Here is a 22,165-nt window from a genome sequence, read left to right on the forward strand (position 1 = left end):
AGGGTGCCTAGGACATATTGCCTAAGCTGTTATTGGTTCTAGAGGACTCGACTTCATTCCATGAGGGGTAAAATAAGTAGATAGGGAGGCATTCAGAGCCTGAACTGGTAAAGGGGGGACAGTTATAATATTACCCCAAAGCTACAGCTCAGGGAAAACCATTAGGGCAATGTTTTTTTGTTGTTGTTGTTTCTTCCTTAAGAAGGGATCTGTGCTATGTACTTTAGCATCACCTGAGATGGTGTGAACAATGATAAGAGTTTGAGGCCCTGTCTTTTATCTACAGATTCAGCATTCCTTGGGGTAAGGTCTGGGAGTCTGTGTTTTGGCAAGAGTTCTGAGTGATTCTGATGTACACTAAAGTTTGGGAATGACTGTCGTAGGAGTGTTCAGTAACTTGGGCCTCCTGGAATGCTCTAAGTTGTGTCACAGCCCAGCTGAGTACCTGGGACAGAACAGGGAAAAGCAAGGAGTGACGATGTCAGAGAGGGGCTGTGAGCCCCTGGCTTTGGAGCCAGACCTGTACCTTCCTGGACTTCAGCAAGTTCCAGAATTTCTGTGCATGTGAGTTTACCCCTGTGTAAAGTGAAGATGACAACAGGGCTGGCTGTTATTCTAGGGGGCTGCCCCGGTGTACCTGGCACAGTGCAGTCCTGCTGATTTTCATATTGCTCTCATTGCCATCCACATCCGAGGGAGTAAATTAGCGGGATCCACAAGCCACGGATGAGCCTTGAACCAGAGAAGCCACAAACTAGCATTTAGGACTTCCTGAGGCTCAGGTATGAGCAATGCTGCCCAAGTGCATGGCATGAAACCCACTACAGACCATCGGAAACCTCTTGAGGACACCATTCCTCTCTGGTAGCCTTTGGGGCATCATTGAACATTGGGTCAGCATGTTAGATACGATGAAGTTCCAGATCCAAGGACAAGCCCTTTAGATGCCTAGTATATGGCTCTGCCCTGGCATTTAACGCCCAGGAGATTATATTACCCTATCAAGCTTATAGAAAATGGACGCAGGTACAATATATCTTATCTACTGCCACATTGATAAAGTCTACAGAGAAAATAGTGGGTCTTTTAGGACTTACCCATTGAGCCTTTTATTTTAAGTGACACATTCTAGTACGGACTTAATTGTAATTCTGATAACATTACTTGTAATACTGTCTCCAGTCCTTGGAATTAATTTGACTGGAAAAAATCCAGAAGGACTTAAATGTTTCTCATTAAAAGCATTATAGATAACTTATTAGACATTGTGACTAATTGTAGTATGGCCCAATGTAAAGCCATCCCAATTAAGATGCTGTTTCTTCTCTTGTGATTAGTTGGCAAACCTTTTCCATACAACTGTGCCCTCTAGAATGTAGATCAATTAAGCATATATAATTGGACGGAACCATTTGCTCCCCAGTTATCACCCTCTCCAGTGAGATATACCCCAGCCGGGTTGGTAGGCTTGTGAAGACAAATGTCCTGATCTCACTTTAGGGAGTTGACAAATGGATCTCTATAAGGCAGCTTATGTGCTAAATATTTCTCCTGGCCCCATTGGCAGAGATGTAGTCTGTTTTCCCAGTACAGAGAATTTCTTGCAGCCTGTACATTTTCCCTTTAAAAGATAAAGAGAAACCATTATGCAGTTTTTATTCCTGACCTGCCTCAAGGAGCAGATACGGACTGGAAAGCAGCCCCTGTTGGATAATTGCTGCTTGTCTCAGAGTTTGAGATTCTGCCGGGGTTTCTTGAGTCACCGAGCATATGGGGCTTCAGGTTGGACTGCCCACTCCAGTGCCTGAGAATTTACTGGGAAGTTTTAATAAAGTAGAGCAGAAATTTTCCAGCTGCATCCGAAATATTTGATGTCATGCTGAATTGCAAATCCCTAGTCGGAACATTTGAACATCATCTAGAGGGATCAGGAAATAACCCAAAGGTTTGGTAGGCGACTTAGAACAATGGCTGCTCTTAAGAGGGAACAATTTAGAGCGATTTCTTTCCTCTTCCTTCTCTCCACCTTCCCCACTGATTTCTCCTTCACGCACCTATGGGTGTGAAATGAGAAAAAAATATCACTTGAAACCAAATCAAAAGCTACAGCAATTCTGGAATTAATAAAAGCTCACATGTAGAAGGAAGTGTGGGTTTATGGGTAGGGTGACCATGCACTACCCAGGTTTGCTTTACCTGAAGGCAGCGGGGCACACGTACTGAGGACTATTGGGTAGAAGGACAGATGGGGCTATAATTAGGGGATGAGCTTCCAACAGATTCTCGGAATGAGCTAGGCATTTGCAATGTTCAGAGTATATAGACTGGCACGTAATTTGGGGTAGTCGGGTATGAAACTTATAGACACATCCATGGATTTCCCTTTAATAAATCGTCTCTTCTAGTAGTCATTTGTCATCAACGAGCAATTCAGTAAAAGTTGGAATTGAGCATAATGTTGCATATCATTTCAGAACATCTGGCCCTAATATGTAGTAACAGCTGTTTAGTACCTGAGATATAAACAAAACATTTTTCCCATGGCTGTCACTGTTCCTCCTCCTGGAGGTGCAGTATCACCGAGGCTTCTCTGTATTTCCTATCATGGGTAATAGTAACAATATCAATAACACAATGATGATTATCATGTATTGTTTAACTATGTGTCATACACTATGTCAAGCACTTTTCATATATGATCTTGGTAAATCCTCATGCCAGCCTTTCGTGGGTATTAGATGGCGAGGGGAAAGTCATCAAGCCAGAGACTGACTACTTTGAAAATTGAATACAAGTCTGTGCAGTGCTACAGCTAACATTCTTTAAGTACTAAAATAAATTGCTTGTAAATAAAGTAAATGAAAAAAGAACACAACTGTGTAAGTCACAAATGAAGAAGGCAACAAAAGGGAACCCAGAAGGGTTTTTTATTTTTTGGTGTGGTCTTCCTTTGTTTGGGATGTAAGACACTGATTTTCCTGCTATATTATAGTATGTACACTGTTACGAGGTGGCAGTGCAGTACCTTGGTCATGTAAGCCAATCAACAAGACTTGTTCTTTTCCTGATGTTCAAGGGAGTAATTCCTTAAGCAAAATCACATTTATACACATGTCTTTTCAAATTTTTAACCAAATATTTCAAAATCAGTTGTTTAAGAAAACGATTACACCTATACCTTCAATATCAAAGCAGATCAATTTTTAAAACAAATTTACTAACCTAGTCTTCAGATACATAGGTTTGTTTTTCTCACTAATCCTTTGTGGTCACTGAAAGAGCATAGGCCACCCCAGTCTTTTGCCCAGATAGTGATGAAAATGCTGATCTTCGTGAATCCAACTGAAATTTTAACTTCGTGCCCAAGCTGTTCTAGAACTCAATTTATCAGATCCAGATTTGGTATTCTAAAGACTAGAGTGTTTTACTTTCTGGGTGTTCTTTGGGCTTCTTTTCTATTCATGACCCTTTGGATTATAAAAGAAGAGAAACACCATGGGGCAGATATGTCCAAGAATAAAGAAAAGAGAAAGTTGCGCACCTGAGAAGTGCCCCCTGCTGGCCAGCATCATTTCTCTGTGTCTCACTACAGAAGGAGGTCTTTGTTTATGAATTCTGCCCTCCCCCTCTTGCCCTGAGACTATCACCTGCTTTGGAAAGAATGGCATCATTTCCAGAATGCCCCTAGGGGCATTAGCTTCTCTTCTACACTCTCTCTCTTGCTTTTCAATATGGAAGTTAACAACGCAGTCTTTGAAGCTGGGCCGATTGGATTTCAAATTCTAACTCAGTAACTTCCCAACTGTGAGTTTGAGCAAGGTATACCTCTTAAGGCTCAGTGTTTTAATCTGTAAAACAGGAATAAAATAGAAATAATAACAATAACTATCTCATGGGGTTATTATAAGAGTCAACTGATATAATGTATGCACACCATTGAGCAGTGTGTCTTCCTCATTATTACTCCTTGATAGATAGCTAGAATTACTGAGCATCCGACTTAGAAGTCTAATTCTCTATTTTGATTTTATTCCTAAACTCCCATGTATGCACCACCACCTTAAACTCGGTACATCTATCTAGGCCGTGATGACCCCTCTACTGGCAGCTTTAGTCCCTCCCTAATCACTGTATTTCTATCATTGATATTAATATTCTTGAAATCACCCGGATTCGAAACGTCCAGTATCATTCTTGGCTCTTCCCTCCACTCTTCTCTGATCCTTTCGCACCATATCATCCCCTACTGCTTCCCCACACCTCTATCTAGGTGATCAGTCACCAACTCCTATTATTTCCTCCTCCATCTGCCTTGTAAATCTTAATTCCATTCTCCTCACTGATTCACTGTTCTCCATAGAATTCCTTGTGACTTTCTTGGAGGTGGGGATCTCATGTTTCCTTTAAGAAAGGAAATATATATGTGTACACACACACACACACACACACACACACACACATACACACACACACACAAAATATATATATTTGGAGACAGAGCCTCACTGTGTTGCCCAGGCTGGAGTGCAGTGACATGATCATGACTCACTGCCACTTCTACCTCCTGGGCTCAAATCTTCCTTCTGCCTCAGCCTCCTGAGCAGCTGGGACCGCAGGATTGCGTGCCACCATGTATGGCTAATTTTTATAAAGTTTTCTTTTTTTTTTTTTTTTTTTTGTAGAGATGATGGGGTCTTCCTGTGTTGCCCAGGCTGGTCTCGAACTCCTGGGCTCAAGCAATCTTTCCACCTTGGCCTTACAGAATGCTGGGATTATAGGCATCAGTCACTGTGCCCAGCCCCAGGAAACATGTTTTATTTCTTGTGCCCCCATCAGTGTTCGACGAAGCCCCGGGTAGGAATTTGGTAGATGCAGGTGTTTGATTAATTTCCCCTTCCTTTTGTTTCTCTTCTCAGCCGTGTGTCTCTTTCCTCTGTCATTCATTCAACCATTCATTCATTCATTCAATAAACACTTACTGAGGTTCACACTCAGTCAAGGAACTGAGAACACTAATGCCATTACTAGTTCTCTCTAGAAACTCACTAGCAGGAAATAAAAGTATCCCCAAGGAGAAAGCCTTGGGAATTAAAATTTTTTGCACAACAAACGTTTATTGAGCACTGACTGTGGCACTTTGCTTTTTAGTGATGAACAAGATGGACACAACCCCAGCCCTGGTGGAGCTTAAAACCTCACAGGTATTAGATGAGCATGAGATAAATAATTCTACGAGCCATGAAAGTCATGAAAGGGAGAATGCAACAGCACAACAAAAAGGTTTTCATTTCTGAGATGGCGAGAGCCTCCCTAAAGAAATCATATTTAAACCTATGTTGAGAAATCGAGTATAGTTTAGTTAAACCTGTATATGTTGAGGGCAGGAGGCAGAGTGTTCACATTAGAGTGGGCAGAGAATGATTGCTCCACAACTTTACAGGCATGGGTTCTTGACATATGCATACAAGCTCATCCATGTGGAAGTGTTAGCAACAGAGGCAACTGTATGGGCAGCAACTCCAGGTCCTCAAAAACTGAGAAAACTAAAATTCTATCCAGGTCCGGCAATGTGTGCTTTCTGCATCTTTAGTATGTGAGTTGGTTTAGTTTGTTAATTAAGCCTATGGAACAAAAGTGTTCTTTCTCCTCCAGACTTTCAAAGGATGTACTCTAGGGCTCGAAGAAGGGGAACAGAGCTGATTATGTTGGTCCTGTTGTTTGTGTTTTTCTTCCCATTTAAGAACGTACATTTGAAGGTGCAGTCTTGAAATTCTTGATATGGATGGCAGACACTTGTAATGAGAGAGGAATTAGCAGAAAATCACACCTCATTTCAATAAATCTTCACCCCTTAAGGCAGCCTGGTGCCCTTCCTGCATTGGCCTATGGAAGTCACCATCTGGACTGGGAGGATTGATGACTTCAGTTTCACCCCTTTCTAAATAGTGTTTATGAAGATCCCTTTCTTCAGGTCAGACTAGAGATTGTACCTACAAATAATATTGTAATTGGACCACTTAGTTTTCATCTTTGATTTGAGGTATTTGAAATGAATGTGAGATTAAAGCAAATGAAGGGGCATGAGAAGTGTTAGCAATCCTCCAGACAGGGAAAATTTCTTTTCATTCTGTCTCCATGATATCAAACTGAAATCCTCAGTTAACCACAGCAGGGGCAAGTGCCTGAGTTGAAAATGTCTTCATCCTTGTATTCTTAATTCATCACCTGAGAAGTCCTTGGATCAGGTACGTGAAACCAGAAGAGAGATCTCCCTGGGGATTTCATAGATGGTGGATATTTAAATATGCAAAACATTATTGAGAAATATGAGATGTGTCAGCCATCTCCTGTGCTAACATTTTTTCCAAGTCAATTACTTTGTGGATGTTTGAGGTGGGGGCACACTGGAAAGAAAGAAAGAAAGACAGGAGGAACTAAATTATTTATAATTATGGTATGTGTTGGCGGGACGGGGGCTGCCTTCTGAGACACAAATGGATGACAAAGAATAAGTTATCTCTTTATAGATAGAATGTGGCAATAATTGCATTGTCTCTGGATTCAAAAAGTCATAATCTATTAATTTGATGGATATCAAAAAGCTATAATCTGTCAATCAGGTGTCAGAAGAAAGAGTCTCTCAAAGCTTTGAAGCATGGCATTTAGAATACCCCTGGATACCTTTATTTCTATTCTAATATTAATAGGAAGGAAGGATACAAACATTTTTGGCATAGTTAGGGAATGGATATCATTTTAGCTGTCTTAATAATTTTGCAACTTAAAAATCGTATTGGATAAGGGTGCCGTATTGAAAAAAATGTGTAAAAGACACACTACAGTGAATTAGAGGGAGATAATTTCATCCTAAGATTTCTCTGACATTAGGCATTGTGGCATCGCTTTCTTGGTTTAAATGTGAAATAGAACCTGAGATTATTTTTCATAAATTTATCTAGCCCATCTATTATTTCTCTATATTATATGGCTGTATACTTGAAACATACCAATGGGGACTGAAGAAAATGCTTAAGTCTATAAATGGAATGTCAAACTGATGGAAGGAGGAAATTGGAGATGTCACACACAGTAAAAACACAGCTTTTCCAGGACCCAGTAAGCTTGCCATTACCAAGGAATTAAGGTATTCTCCTCTGGTAGGAAAAGAATTTGACTCCTTGGCCCAGCACAGTTTCAAAGCTGCATGAAGTCACGTTTGCCTCATTACAATTCCTTTGGTTAAAGATGCTTTTCTAAGTACTTCAGAAAATGTATGCAAAAATATTTTTTGGTGCGGAGGCCACCAAACCTGCTGGACTCACGTTCCTGCTTTTGGCAAGCAAAGCAAAAGAACCTTCTGGGTTCCCTTCCTGCCTTTCCTACTGAGATCAAGCTGAAGGTGGAATTTTTCTATATATCCAGTCCAGCCTTTGTGACCTCTGCCTTTAACACAAACACCTTGTTTAAAAAGTAGACTTGAGGGAGGGCACTTGAGTTCAGAAGCCAAAAGAAATGGGTATTGCTCTTTCCGCGCTAAGCAGTTCTGAACCTAGACCATATCCTTGGGAGACCAGAGCAGCTGTAAGCAGCAAACTGCCTCTTTTCTGCCTCCCTGTGAACCTGCTTCCCTGGAGGGTATGCTCAAACTCAATTCCCTGTTTTATTGTTCAAAGGACAGGGAAGAAAGGAGGGAGAAAAGATTGATTAAGCCCCCAGTCTGTGCCTGGCAACATTCTAGGTGCTTTGTATCTGAAAATCTATTTTATTTTCACAATGATCTCATCCATGTCCATGGATTCAACTTTATCTACCTGACCACCAATAATTCATATATTTGGTCTTTCGGTTTAGTCATCTTGGTGCTCCAGAGCTGTATACCCACTGCCTACTTGACATTCTTCTTACATGTCTCAAAGGCACCTTGGATTCCACGTTTTCCAATTTAGTGTGTGATCTTCCCTCCTAAACTCAAGGCTTTCTAGTGTTCCCTACCTCATTCTGTGGCACCATTCTCCATCCAGTTTTTCCCCTTTCTCACAGTCAATTAAAATTCTGTTGATTTTGTCTGCTAAATATCTCAGCAAGAATCCATCCAGTTCTCTCCCTCTCCATTGCCAGTATCCTAATCTGAGCTACCATCATTTCTTTTTTTTTTTTTTTTTTTTTGCCTTGAATATCAATCTGGCCCCCCAGATGGTCATACCACAATCACTCTTACCTTCTTCCAATCTTTCTCTTCTCCCCAACCAGAATGATTCTTTGAAAGCTTCAGTATGATGCATATGACGATGTCATTCATTTGATCAAAATCCTTCAGTGGCCTGCCGTTGGTTTTTTTTATGAAATATAAAACAAAACCTCGGACATGAGCTATAAGACCTTGCATGAGATGCACTTTCTGAGACCAGCCCCTCCATTCTCCTTTCATGCCACTCTACACTTTCAACTCCAGCCACCCCAGTCCTTGTTAAGTTGCTGAGACTATCATGCACAAAGGTATTTACACAGTTTTGTTTTGGGTTTCTTTGTTTTTTGTTTTGTTTTGTTTTGTTTTGTTTTTTTCAACGGAGTCTCACTCTGTCACCAGGCTAGAGTGCAGTGGCGCAAGCTCAGCTCGCTGCAACCTCCGCCTCCCAGGTTCAAGCGATTCTCCTGCCTCAGCCTCTCAAGTAGCTGGGACTACAGGCACCTGCCACCACAGCCAGCTAATTTTTGTATTTTTAGTAGAGACGGGGTTTCGCCATGTTGGCCAGGATGATCTTGATCTCTTGACCTCATGATCCACCCTCCTTGGCCTCCCAAAGTGGTGGAATTATAGGAGTGAGCCACTGCGCCTGGCCTACACAGTTTTTATGCATATTGCTCTCTGTACGGAGAAAGGTAATGCAGACTCATTCATCCTTTGTATTTCAGGTCTATTGCCACTTCTTTGGGAAACATCACCCCTCAGTCTAGATCTGATACCCCTCTTATTCCCTCTTCTGTTTTATACCTCTTCTTCCTAGCCCAGGTGTTTACAATTCCCATTTATTTATGGGGAATATGTGATTATTGTATTTTCCCTACTGAGATTCAAAGCTATACAAAGGAAAGGACTCTTCTGCCTTTTTTTTTTTTTTTTTGGTTTTTAACTCATTATGAAATCCCCACTGCTGAGCACAATGCTGAACACCTTTGAAGTAATTAATAAATAACGACTAAATTACTGCTGTGTAGATAAGGCAGATAGGATTAGGTTCTTTCAACAGTGAGGAAATCAGAGCTCATTCTAACTTAAGGGTTTAGAAGTATCAGAGGCAGGACTCTGACCCGGGTCTCCAGACTCACAAAACACAATACACTATAAGGTGTACAATAGCACTGACAGATATTTTTTAAAGGTTCCTCTCATCTCACTATACTAACACAAATGTTTTCAGTTCTACAATCTACATTTCCCCCTCCAATTTTTCTCCTCTTTTTTGACTGCCTTGATGGTTTCAGTGGGTCCTGGTTAAGCCTGTCTTTAAGTTTCTAATCAAACTAATCCAAGTGAATTTGGCTTCTGACCTTGCTCTCACATATTTGCCATCTCTAAATGATTGATGTCTGCTTGATCCCTGTTGGAAAAGCGTCTGAAGATATGATCCAGAAAATCTATAGTTGCAAATCTAGCATAATTTTAATGAATCGTGGTCAGAATAGTAAGAAGCATTGCACAGAAGGCTTGCATAAAAAATATGCATCTTCTGTCATCTTCACCCTCTACACTGGCCTCCCAAGTCCCCATGGAAGGTATCTAGTACGGGAAACTTTCTTTTCCTGTAAGAATGTTGTGGCCAAACATGCTGTGTATTGGATGGATGGATGGGAGGATGATTTATATTTTCATCTCGGTATAGTTCATAGGTCTAGGATCAGAAATAAACTAGAATAAATATAAATATTGCTTTTCTTAACGTTGGTTTAAAATGCAAATGCATGGCATACAGAAAAAACTTTTTTTTTTTTTTTAGCTCTGAAAGCTCAATTTTTACTACATGATTTCCCTAGTAGAAGTACTTTTTGCAGGGTATAAGAATTTTCTGTTTGCTTATCTGTTTTCAGTCTAGAATGTTCACTTCTTAAGGGCAAGGAATAGGTTATGTTTACCTTCTTATCTCTGGAGACTTGTATAATCCTAGCTGGTCCTAAGTACTCAAAAGTTTTCTTGAATGAAACAAAGCCTTCTCCGGATGAGGAAGCTTGTCAGAAGCTTGAGTGACTGGTAAGGAGGGTGAATCTCTGCTGCTGATTTACTAAGAAATATTTGGATCTTTCCTTGAAGCTAAGGGTATATACCTACTTCTGTGCAAAACAGGTGGCATGGCTGGCCCTTGAAGAGTACACAGTTTAAGGAGACAGTAATGGGTACAGTTATCTTCTTAAAGATCTGGGCCACTTTGTTCCTGAAAAAGTGTGGGAAGTTTCTCTCTTAGGCAGTCTATCTCTTAGAGCCCAGTACTCACAGCAAAATATTTATAAAAGAAAACAACTCTTTCATCATCCCTGACATAGCCTGCCCTCAGCCTAGAAAGAAAAGGCCAATAATTGGGACTGTGTGGTTCCAGGAGATAGGACAGAAGGATAGGGCCAATTCAACAGGTAAGAAAGACAGCACACTCAAGGGAGCAGACTCCAGTTGATCACCGCTGTGGGCAGCTGAGGCACACTCCTCCCAAGACAGCTATAGAAAGTGCCTCAGAAATGTCTGTCTCTAGGACACGGTTCCCATTATCCATGGGTCAAAGCTTGCCCGAGGAACGCCAGCTCCTTTGCATTCCCAAACTTTGCAAGCATGTGTCATCCTGCAGGTTCTCTTGGGTATTCCATTGTAAGGAGTCTGAGAAGCTCCAAGGAAGAATGCAGAAATACGGGGTATAGCTGAGGCCAGGTGCTGTCTGATCATATACCTGGGAAGCTGTTGTTGATCACGTACCTGGGAAGCTGTCTGATCACATACCTGGGAACCTGGTTGTTATATCCATGGCTGGGGAGCAGGGTAGCAGGGAGCAAGAACTGTCCAACATAATCTAGTTTACCTATGGACTTTCAAAGGTTTGCAAAGATTTACCTCCTACTAAAATGGCTTGTGAGCATGGAAGGCTTAAACATTAGCAGAGCAGGTAGAAAAATAACGCCTGGTAAGATGCCAAATGGTGGAAACCGAGGCAGAAGATAGTCCTCTGGACAAGGTCAGCATAATCTAGTACATATGAACTCACTCACGCTCCTGCATCAGACTCCCCTGGTTTTGGAATCTGTCTCTGTTGCTTCCCAGTGGAACCTGAGAACATTGTTTAATCAGCCTTGGTTATGTATTCGTCGTCAGATAAATAGGGACGTTAATACCAACCTCATACTGTTTAGATTTTGGATCATTTACAATGAGAATGTGTTCATCTGTTACCTGTGTAACTGAACATAATAATACTATGTTTGAACAGATTTCAAAAATGGGTTTGGATCTGATTTTAAAACATTTGAAACAGATGTGGAACAAGTTTTTAAAGAAGGAACCCTATCTCATAAGATTGTCAGGATCATTAAACATCACGAGTATGAGCCCACAGGAAACCTTCAGTATATCGTGATCTTCTTGACGGTGGTGAAGAAGGACAAGGAAGACCACCACCATAACACACGGGTCTTCTTTGGAATGGAGGTTCCAGGATCTATGGGGAATTTGCTTGTCCCTATCCACTCTCATCCCTCCACTGGGGAAGAGAGAGTTGGTGCCAGTCTTCCAGCGTAGGTCATTGTTGGCTCAGCATCTGGGAAGAATCTGGGCCTGCAGGAAGGACTCCTGGACAGTGCCATGAGCAGCTGATAAAGACCAAGAGAGGGGAATGTGGGGCCTGGTCTAATGAGAGTTACTGCCATAACTGGCATTTACTGAGCACATCCTACATGTGACTCTGTTCTAAGTACTTTCTGCATGTCGTGTGTTAGACATCAAGAGTCGAGGCACCCTCATTCACATTCTACACATCATGAAACTGAGACTTGTAGAGGTTAGGTAGTTTGGCCCTCATCACAGTGCCAGGAGGTGCGGGTGTAAGATTTGAACCCAGGAAGTGTGATTCTTGTAGCAATTGCTGTGTGGTTGAGATCTGGTCTGGGAAGTGGGGCTAACACAGAAGTGTGGATAGGACAGATTATTTCTGCGCTCCAAAGTTATGAATATATATACTCCAAAATATGCTTCAGTGACTGAGTGAGACATAAATGGGTTACTCTGTCAGTGATCATTATATTACTCCCCATCCCTGCATGCATGTTAGAAAGGCACACACAAGCTGGAATAATATGAATGACATTTAATAGACTACTTACAAAAATGTTGGAAGATCTGGGGAAAACTAACGAAGGAACTTTCCGTACTTGAGGCCTATCAATAGCAGGAAGTTATTACTACCTCTAGGCCTGAAAGGGCAAGGAGAAGGGGGCCAATGGAACCAGGAGATAGAAGGCTGGTGGAGAGGACCGCCTAACCTGGGTGGTGGCCATAAAGCGAGGGAGCTGGAGAGAAAAAGACACCTTAAACTCACTTGCTCAGTAGCTCCCATGAGCCAAATCTAGTGGAAAGCCAGAGAAGAAAGTGAGAAGAGAAGGGAGCCCATAAAGAAGACAGGACTGCCTACAAAGGCCAGTGTCTCAGAGCACAAATGAGGATGCAGATGAGAGCAGGTCTGTTCTGGCATGGCAAAGGGGCTTGCCCAGCACTATCAGCAATCTGCAAAAAGATATTCTTGGGAAGACTCTGGTGTCTGAAAGATTAAAGGGAAAATGCATCCACGTGATAAAATATTATTCAGCCAGAAGAAGGAATGAAGTACTCTTACATGCAATAACAGGGATGAACCTTGAAAACCTGATGCCGGTGGCAACGACCCCATACCGTGTGGTTCCATTTAGATGAAATGTCCAGAATAGGCAATTCCATGGACACAGACAGTAGATTCGTGATTGCCAGGGGCGTGGAGGAGGAGGGAATGGGAAGTGGCTGCTACTGGGTACAGGATTTCCATTTGGGGAGGTGGAAACGTTGTGAAGCTAGATAGTGGTGATGGTTGCACAGCATTGATAGTGTTCCAGATGTCATTAATGGCCAATTTTATGTTATGTTTGTTTTCTGACAATTAAATAAGCAAATACATAAATGAGAAAGAATTTTTCTCTCATAATGTTTGTTTGCCTCTTACTCATTTTCTGAGCTAGTCACCAAAACGTATCTGACACTTTCTTGCTTAACCTGGCGGGAGTGGTAGCGGATGCTCCTGGTGCCCCCGTTGCATTCCCTCACCTTTCTGCCAGCTCAGCTTCCAGTAGCCAGCGCCTGCCTGTGTTTCTCTGCCTGAGGGCTCTCTCCGGCTGCCAAAGCCCGTGTCCACGCACAGCAGTACCAGAGAATTACCAGGTCCCAGGAGCAGCACTCGGGTGAGGACTGACATGCGTCAATGTGTAAACACCAACTTCCCTGCACTCCAGGTGGGGTCCAGAGCTCAGTGCGTCTTGCTGGCTCCCAGAGGCCCCAGCCCGGTTGAGCTCCAGTTGCCTGCAGCAGTTCCCAGGCTTAGTGCACTTGACTGTGCTGCCACCTCTCCTTTCATTTCCCCTCTTCCCTCCTGGTTTCTCCTTCACCTTCCAAATCAGGTGGGGCTCTCAAGCCCTTGGCTCAGGATTTATAATAACTACGGAGTAATAATAGATAACATGTATTGAATTTTTATTGTTAAAATGTGTATGAGAAGACACTGGCTTGTGTTCATTTTGCCTCTCTTGTTCCCAATGATAAGACTGCCTTCACGCATCAGGCAAATAACTATAATTGGTTCCTGGACATTAGCATAAACAGAATCCCCTAGGGAAAGTGCTAAAAGTGCAGATTCCCAGGCCCCACCCATCAACATGCTGATTCCATCTGTCTAGGTGTGAGCCTTGGAATCTGCATTTATCAAGCTTTTCTGGTTCTTCTAATGCAGAATAGAGTAGAAAGTTTTCATTGAAAAACACTGGACACTGGCATGATGAGAAACAGAGGAGAGGCCACCTATTGGAGGCAGGCACTGGCATCTGGTCAGTATTTCAACAAATGTGGTCCCTCAAGTTCTGCAGGGAGAAATACTCCATTACATGTATACATTTACTTTCTCTTAAACTGATGGGATCCATATCCAAGTATGAAAGTTAATTTCGGTATTTAATAATCATTAAGTAAAGAGAGAGTGAAATATCTACACTATGTAATTACATAAAACATGCTTCTGGCAATATTTGCCCCCTAGGAAATTCAAATAGGAAGTCTCCAAGGAGCAAGGTTGTATTCTTGGAGGTGGACACAAAGTAATTGAGCTTTGCTAATGGAGATAATTAATTAGGAAACGGATGTGCTTGCTTCTGAGAAAAATATTGGAAAGATCTTCTGAGAAGGCCTAGCCCTCTGCTCTTGTAATTTTCCGAAGTCTGTGCCACCCTGAGGACTGGTGCTTCCCCTGAGCCATGACCCAGCCACAGTTAGGAATTAAGGGAGCAGAAAACACACAGCCATTGCCCACAGTTCAGGCTGGTCCTAAGAATGCCTGGGCCCTAGGAACACACTATCTCCAGGAAGCAGCTCTGAATTAGACCTCGGGTTCAAGTTCCAGCCCCCACTTATCAGCTTTCTGAACTTAGCCAAGTTATTCAGTTTCCATGGAGCTTAGTGTTCTCAGCTTAAAACTAGGGGTTGTAATAGCAGAAACAGTCATCAGTATCCAGTGAAACAATGCTCTGCAGGAAAATAAGTCGTAGATCAGAAGATGTCGCCCTGGTGTGGTCTTACTAAACCTTCCCTGTCTCAGCCCGGGGTCTTGTTTATTGCATCTGGGTTACCTGTTTGCCCCTTTCTGTCCAGGTTTGATCTGCAGGAACCTAGCCTTCTGGTCTAACCTTTCTAGCTTGTCTGCTTATCACCCCAACCTCCCCGCTTTCTGGTTCCAGATGCTAGCCTGTTCTTGCCTTGTATATCTGACTTGCTGAGCTCACTCTTGGTGCTGCAAAGTGGCCATGCCATGAATCTTCCATAGCCCGATGCAATGTCACCCCAGTGACACGGAAGGATGGCCGTATGGTGAGAGACTGCATTCAGACCACTGAGCCTTCTCTTCCCTAATTATATCATGCCAGAAACAGCTAGACCAAGGAGTCAAGCACACAAATATAGTTGGACCAGAAGGACCAGCAGCTCTCAAGGGGTAAGAGAATAAGGAATCATGTGAGCATTCATGGATTGAGGAATGCATCCATTATTCAAGCAAGTTGATAGAGATAATTAATTAGGAAATGGTTGTCTTACTGTCCTATTCACCAAGCTATCCACACCATCTAGCTCAGTCCATACTTTCTTAATGAGGGAGAAAATGAGACTCAAGCCAAGAAGGCAAAGACTTGATGTGGATGATATTTTTTCTATTTTTGCTTTCTGGTGATGGTAGACATTATATTACATATTATTAGGTTAAGGTACCGATGGTTTTGTTTTCTGTGTTGATAAAAATTGTGCGCTTTTTATTCTTTTACAGAACTAATAAAAACATGACACATTAACCTTTGACTTGTCTAGTCTCCTCTTTTATTAAATCTGCTCTAAGCAGTTGGATGGGGAGTGCCTTTTCGCCTGTCTACCCCTTCCCAAGGACTATTTATATTGAGGCAACCAAATGATCAAGGAAGAATTCGTGAATAGCCATGATCAAAGTAACCAGACAGGGAGTTAGAGGTTCAATCGTATTTGGGGAAAATGGTCCAATGATGGGGAAAGGGCCCAGGTTTTGACACCTGAAGACATCCCTGGATTTCAGGAATTTGAGGCAGATCCCTAGAGCTCAGATCTAGGATTCAGAACGAAACGGTGACTGTGAGAGTAAACCATGGTGTCTGACATAAGGGTTTCCTTGATTACCCTTTAAGGGCCCCTATGAATGTCTCTGGGTCATCAGTCCCTTAGATAACATCATGTGTCTACAGCTGGGATAGCAAGTAGGTTTTGTTTTGTGGGTCAACTCACATGAAGAGGATGCCTAGATGTCTGCGGTGAGCAAGATTCTAGAGCTCATCAGGAAAGTATGCTGTAGTCAATTAGTGATGTCTGCCATGTGCACGGGTAGAGAAGTTATGTCATGCATACCACAGACTCACCATCTCAGCTTAATAGACCATGAAGTCAGGATCTGGGGAGCTACCTTAATGTATGAGGACTGTTTCCAAAATATTTCTGAAAACTATTGATACTAGATCCTACCTGGAGTCTCTACTGGTTCCATAGCATGGAACTGTTTACAATTGCTTTTGATCCTTTTTCCAAATGATTGAGTGCTTTGGCATAAACAGGTCAGGTACAGAAAGCACGGCATTTGAGAATTATCCTCTGCAAACATGACTTGCAGGCATAGCCTGAGCCCACTCAGAGCCCATACCCAAGTTGTGCTTTCTTAAGGCCACAGCCTCCTTCTGAGAGCTGAGGAAGATAAGGGTGGAGGACAAACAACTTGGGTATTCTTTGAGGAAATATAAATCACATTTAAGTAGTCGCTTGAAAATGAGTAAATTCACCTATTTAATGTGTAGTATTCTTGGAGCTGGGAAATTTAGCCAAGGTGGGCACCACTTGAGACAGTGTTTGCTGTGGAGCAACATGTGTGTCTGGCCGGTAAACCTGCAATAACTCAGTGCGCAGACATTGCCAGGCAAGGCCTTTCTGGGAGAAATGATCCAATGAGGGGAAAAAATACTTCAGTTTTGTTGAGAGATGATCTTAATCTGTTTGAGCTGCTATATAAAAAAATACCATAGACTAGGTGGCTTAAAAACAATGAATGCTCATTTCACAGTTCTGGAGGCTGGGATGTTCAAGATCAAAGCGCCAACAGATTTAGTGTCTGGTGAGGTCCCGCTTTCCTCATCCATGGTGCCATCTAGCCGTGTCCTCACTTGGCAGAATGGATGAGGGATCTGGATGGAGCCTCTTTTATAAGGGTACTAATCCCATTCATAATGGCTCATCCTCATGACCTAATCACCTCCCAAAGGCCCTGCCTCCTAACACTATCACCTTGGGGGTTAGACATTTAACATATGGATGTTGGGGGGAATAAATCTTTAGCCTGTAGCAAAGATAATGAGATCAGGTGTAGGTGATTAAGTGACATCTGGAGAAAGAATTATTAGCTGCTAAGAAAGATGTGTTTGTGCCTGTGTGTGTGCACTTGCACATGTGTGGATGTGTGTGTGTGCATGTGCTCTGTGTGTGTGCTTTGTACACAAGGCAGAGTTTGCAGTCTGTGAGGGGGCCAGCAGGTGTTCAACCCCGCCTGGCTCAGGCAGCTTTCGCTTCAGTTGGCTTTTATCTCTTCCTATGTGCCCTCAGCCCTGTGTCCCAGGGAGAGGTTTAACCAAGTCTAGAATGTTCCACTCTGCTTAGATGCCACTTCAGAGGTCTTAAAACAGAACCTTTGTTTTAAGCAGAGACAGTCCTCTTTTTGATACGTGGTTTTCAGGTGCTCCCTTTAGGAATGGCCGCCACCCACATATCATGGTTCCTCTAGTGGTTAAATCATGATGAATAGGCACAGAGAGCTGATAATTAAGGTAGGAAAGAGTACCATATTTCTCTTCTGCATTATCCCTAGTGAATTACAATTTTTTCTCCCAACTGCAAGTAGAAATGATAATCACCCTTAGCTCCACTTCCACACCCTTCTCAGAAATTTGGGTAATGCATCCTCATCTTAATTATCAAAATACAGGGTTATCATTTGCAGAGAACATGTGTTTTGTGTTTGTGGGGTCTGGAGAGAGTGATCATACAATTTCTAATTCAAAGCAGAATACTCTTGAAAGTAAATCAGGACTTTCCTGTTGAAACTAGAACAGGAAGTCACCTTAGCAGTGGTAGATCTTTGAATTCGTCTCCTCCTGGTTCTGCGGAGAGCCATGAGAGACTAGAACACAATCACCAGTTAGGATCAATACACTTATAAATGCAGAGGGTCTTAGCATCCATTTGGGTGCCAGCTTCCCTTGTGTGATTGGTTACTGGTGTCAACGGAGATTGTATGGGAGAGGAACTAAAGAATGCAGGCTCGGCTTTTCCCAGAGGCAGCAGTGCGATGCATGGGTCACAGAATATGCCAGAGAACAACGAGGCCAGTCGCTCACTGACTATGGAAGATGAGTCCATTATTTAATCACTCTGGCCTTCGGTTTTTCAGCTCTAAAAATGAGAATATTCCTTTCCTCAATGATTATTGTTATGATTCCCGGAGATAACGTGCATGAAAGATTTTAGTGCAGGCCTTTCTTCCTTCCGTTGACAACCCAGAATGTTGCTTGATGCACAGGGGAAATAGAGTGATCAAGAAGAGCCTTTATAAATGAGAGTTGATGTTGAGTAATCATTTTGGGTATTATCAATACCCATGGCCATAACACCCCCACCATGTGGAACAACACAGGGAACACGACTTCTTACTCAAGCTACAACAGGAGAATTCTTCCTTGGATCTCTCTTACACAGACAACATTGTCTGTTTTTCATCAAAATGCTAGAAATGAGAGCTCAACATTTGTAAGCTCTTGCTTCGTTCAATAAAGATTGTGTATGGGAAATCCACTGCTTCTCTCCCTTCGTAGATGTAGGAATCTGCCTCAGACATTGTACAAATGGGCAGAGAGGGGAATGGAACTGAGTCTTACCCATTACGTTTAGGATTTCAGGGCTGCAGGTCATCTGTTTACCTAAGATGGAGAGGCCAAGTCCTCTCTCATGGTAGCTTTGAAGCTGGTGTCAGGGAAAGGTCAGTGCCTGTGAACAGTGATGGAAGGTGTGTAAAGGAGGAGGCAGGGTTTAGCACAAGGGGTAACTAAATCTTAACTTCTGGGATACTGGGTGGTGGTGGGGTTACTATTTCCAATTTATAGCAAGATGTAAGTGATATCAGCTGGAGGACAACTTTACTGGTCTATGTGGGTGTATTAGTCGGTTCTCAAGCTGCTAATAAAGACATACCTGAGGCAGGGTAGTTAATAAAGGCAAGTGGTTTAATGGACTTACAGTTCCACATGGCTGGGGAGGCCTCACAATCATGGCAGAAGGTGAAGGAGGAGCAAAGTCACATCTTGCATGGTGACAGGCAAGAGAGAGCATGTGCAGGGGAACTCCCATGTATAAAACCATCAGATGTCGTGAGACTTATTCACTATCACAAGAACAGCATGGGAAAACCCTGCCCCCGAGATTCAGTTACCTCCCACCCACTTCCTCCCATGACATGTGGGGATTATTACAATTCAAGATGAAATGTGGCTGGGGACACAGAGCCAAGCCATATCAGTGGGATAGATATCATTTGGAATATGGTTGCCTTCCATTCTGATCTCATTCTATCAAAGTTGGTAGATCCTAACATGGTGACCCAGCAAGAGTCTCTTTTCAAACTGGCTGTCCTCGGGGGTAGGAGCAGAGCCAGGGCAAACCGTCAGGGATGCTAAGTAAGGAGCTTCAAGGGGATCCAAGGCACCTCCTTGGACTCAGACATGCTTGGGACCGCGTTCGTAGGACAACTTTTACTGTCCATTGCCACAATGAAACATGGCAGTGACAGATGTAGGCCCTCAGTGATCACAGATCTATATGGCAGCAATGGTTCAAGTGCAGAAATGACAACAGTGTTTGTGATTTTACCTTTTTGTGAAGCTGGGTTACTGGGGTTTCTGTCCTGGAATCTCTAAACAAGTAACCACAGGGTAGTTGCTTGGCTCTTGCCTCAAGTGAACCAGCCAAGAGATCTCGTCCAACACTGGTATAGCCTGGCAGCAACTGCTACTTCCAGGCTGTGTCTCGAATGCCCTGCTGGGCTCCATGTGTATCTGGGAACATGGTTTCTGATCTACAAATCTAAGCCCCTAAATACACAAAAGCGCTAAGGCAAACCATATGCCTTAGGCTCACTTTTAAACCTCTCTGAGCTTCAGCTTCCTCAGCTGTAAAAAGAAGCCATGATCACAGGCATGTTTATGCACTAAATCAAATAATGAAGCTCACAAGTTCAGCCCTGGTCATCACCATTCAAGACTCTGAAGTCTATCAAAGCAGAATTCATGTTCTCTGGTTGCATTTTCCATCAATGGAGACTCAGAAATATTTATTGAATAAAACATCAACTATGACAACATATTTTACAGTGTAATAGTGAAAACATCATTCATCTGATGACATGCTTCTTTTGAACCATTTTGGGATGGTTCTGATATTGTTTGTAACAAGAAATAAAGATCCGAGGATGATCAAGTGAGCATTCAATTATTCTTACCTTCATTTAAAAAATATATTTTCAATATTAAGGAATTTGTTGTTATTGTTATTTACAAAGCAATAAAATAAGGTAAGAAAAATGGAGAGGCCTGGGTTGGTGATTTGGTCACCAGGCAGATTGAGAATGGAAAGAAAAGGGAACAGGGTAACCATGTGACCAATTTGCTTCTTGGAAAAGGGACCAAATAGGACCCAGAGAGGGGCTTGGTCAGGCTTCCTGGTCACTGCCAGTGCTGAGACATTAAAGATCCAGGCCCCACGGAGAACCAGGGCACCTGGACTTTGATCTTGCCATAATGGTATGCCTCCATTTAAGAACTAGGTCAGCTGTCTTTCACACCAGCTGTGTTCTTCATGCTTAGGGCAATAACATGTATAAAGTAATGGGTATTTTTCTAGTAGGGTTAACACACTTACTCAGGTTTATTCTTCTAACTTGCCTGCATCCAAACATTTTTTTTTTTTTTTCAAGATAAAACCAGCCTGTCAAACTGTGCAGTTGACATTACTTGGTAGGATGCAGAAAATATCTGAATTAGAAATGGGCCCATACAGGTTCCAGTGGGAATGGCTTTCTCAGCAGGTATGAATCACTGCTATTAAAAATGTATTCCGTAGGTAAATTGTTAGTTATCATATTCATCCACTCTTACAGAAAGCCAATGTTATCATTTGGGTCCATTATTAAGACTATCATTATCATAGTCAGTTTAGTAACCTCCTTTTACATAACATTGGATTTTTTGTGGGTTTTCAAGTCTCTTCCAAACTGAATCTCACAATCTAGGTTTATTTTTGAGGCCACCTTGCCTGAAGGCTCGAGGATGACAGGAGTGACTTCCGTCACTGCCATATTTCTTCTACACTTGAAGATTGTTTTCTGGGATGTTGCTGCAAATGGCAAATGTGTTTGATGCCCTAATGTTTAACATAAATCAGGATCATGGATGTGCATAGCCCCCTCCCGTTTCTGTAAAGTATTGTAAAGGGACTCCTGTCCTCAGAGTGCCAGGCCTCACATTTACATTCTGGACAAACTGGGCTGTCTGCTTGAAAGGGCAGATACCACAGGTTGGAGCAAACATAGCTTCTGAAGAAGATGTAATGCATTTCTGTCCCAGTAAGTTGTGCCTGATTAAGATCTTCTCATAGCTGGGGGCAGTGGCTCACGCCTATAATCCCAGCACTTTTGGAGGCCAAGGTGGGCTGATCACTTGAGGTCAGGAGTTCGACACCAGCCTGACCAACATGGTGAAACGCCATCTCTACTAAAAAAAAAAAAAAAAAAAAAAAAAAAAAAAAAAAATTAGCCAGGCATGGTGTTGCATGCCTGTAATCTCAGCTACTTGGGAGGCTGAGGCAGGAGAATTGCTTGAACCTGGGAGGCAGAGGTTGCAGTGAGCCAAGATTGTGCTATTGCACTCCAGCCTGGGCAACAAGAAACTCTGTCTCAAAAAAAAAAAAAAAAAAAAAATCTTCTCATGACCCCGGGTGGGTGGCTGGGGTGGGGTTGGTGGAGGGAAATAAATATGAAGAAGAATGGTGAGACAACCAGTGGGCATATACTGTGTAGACTACCAGAAAGCTTTGGAAATGTGTCAACCCTAAAGCATTGCTATTTTTAAATATTTAGTTGTATTTTAATATTTAGCTATAAATGAAGAACTTGGCTTGGACACAAAAATAACAAAAAATTAATATCTAAGAGTCATGTTCTCTGTGGAATAATCTTAGGGCTGGTCTGTCTTTACACATTTATTGATGATCCAGAAGAGGAAGCACACAAGTTTGTAG

The 22,165-nt window shown here is 42.4% G+C and overlaps 1 protein-coding gene and 1 non-coding gene across 9 annotated transcripts in view; both read left to right on the forward strand.

Moving 5' to 3' along the window:
• The window catches only part of CDH13 (cadherin 13), a 1,173,672-nt gene that overhangs the window by 41,373 nt on the left and 1,110,134 nt on the right, over positions 1–22,165 (forward strand). The window lies entirely within an intron of this gene.
• Positions 20,590–20,678, forward strand: MIR8058 (microRNA 8058). The gene has a single exon (NR_107025.1). It is a non-coding gene; the product is annotated as a microRNA 8058 (primary transcript).

The sequence above is a fragment of the Homo sapiens genome, chromosome 16, assembly GCF_000001405.40.
Source record: "Homo sapiens chromosome 16, GRCh38.p14 Primary Assembly".
Classification (NCBI taxonomy): Eukaryota; Metazoa; Chordata; class Mammalia; order Primates; family Hominidae; genus Homo; species Homo sapiens.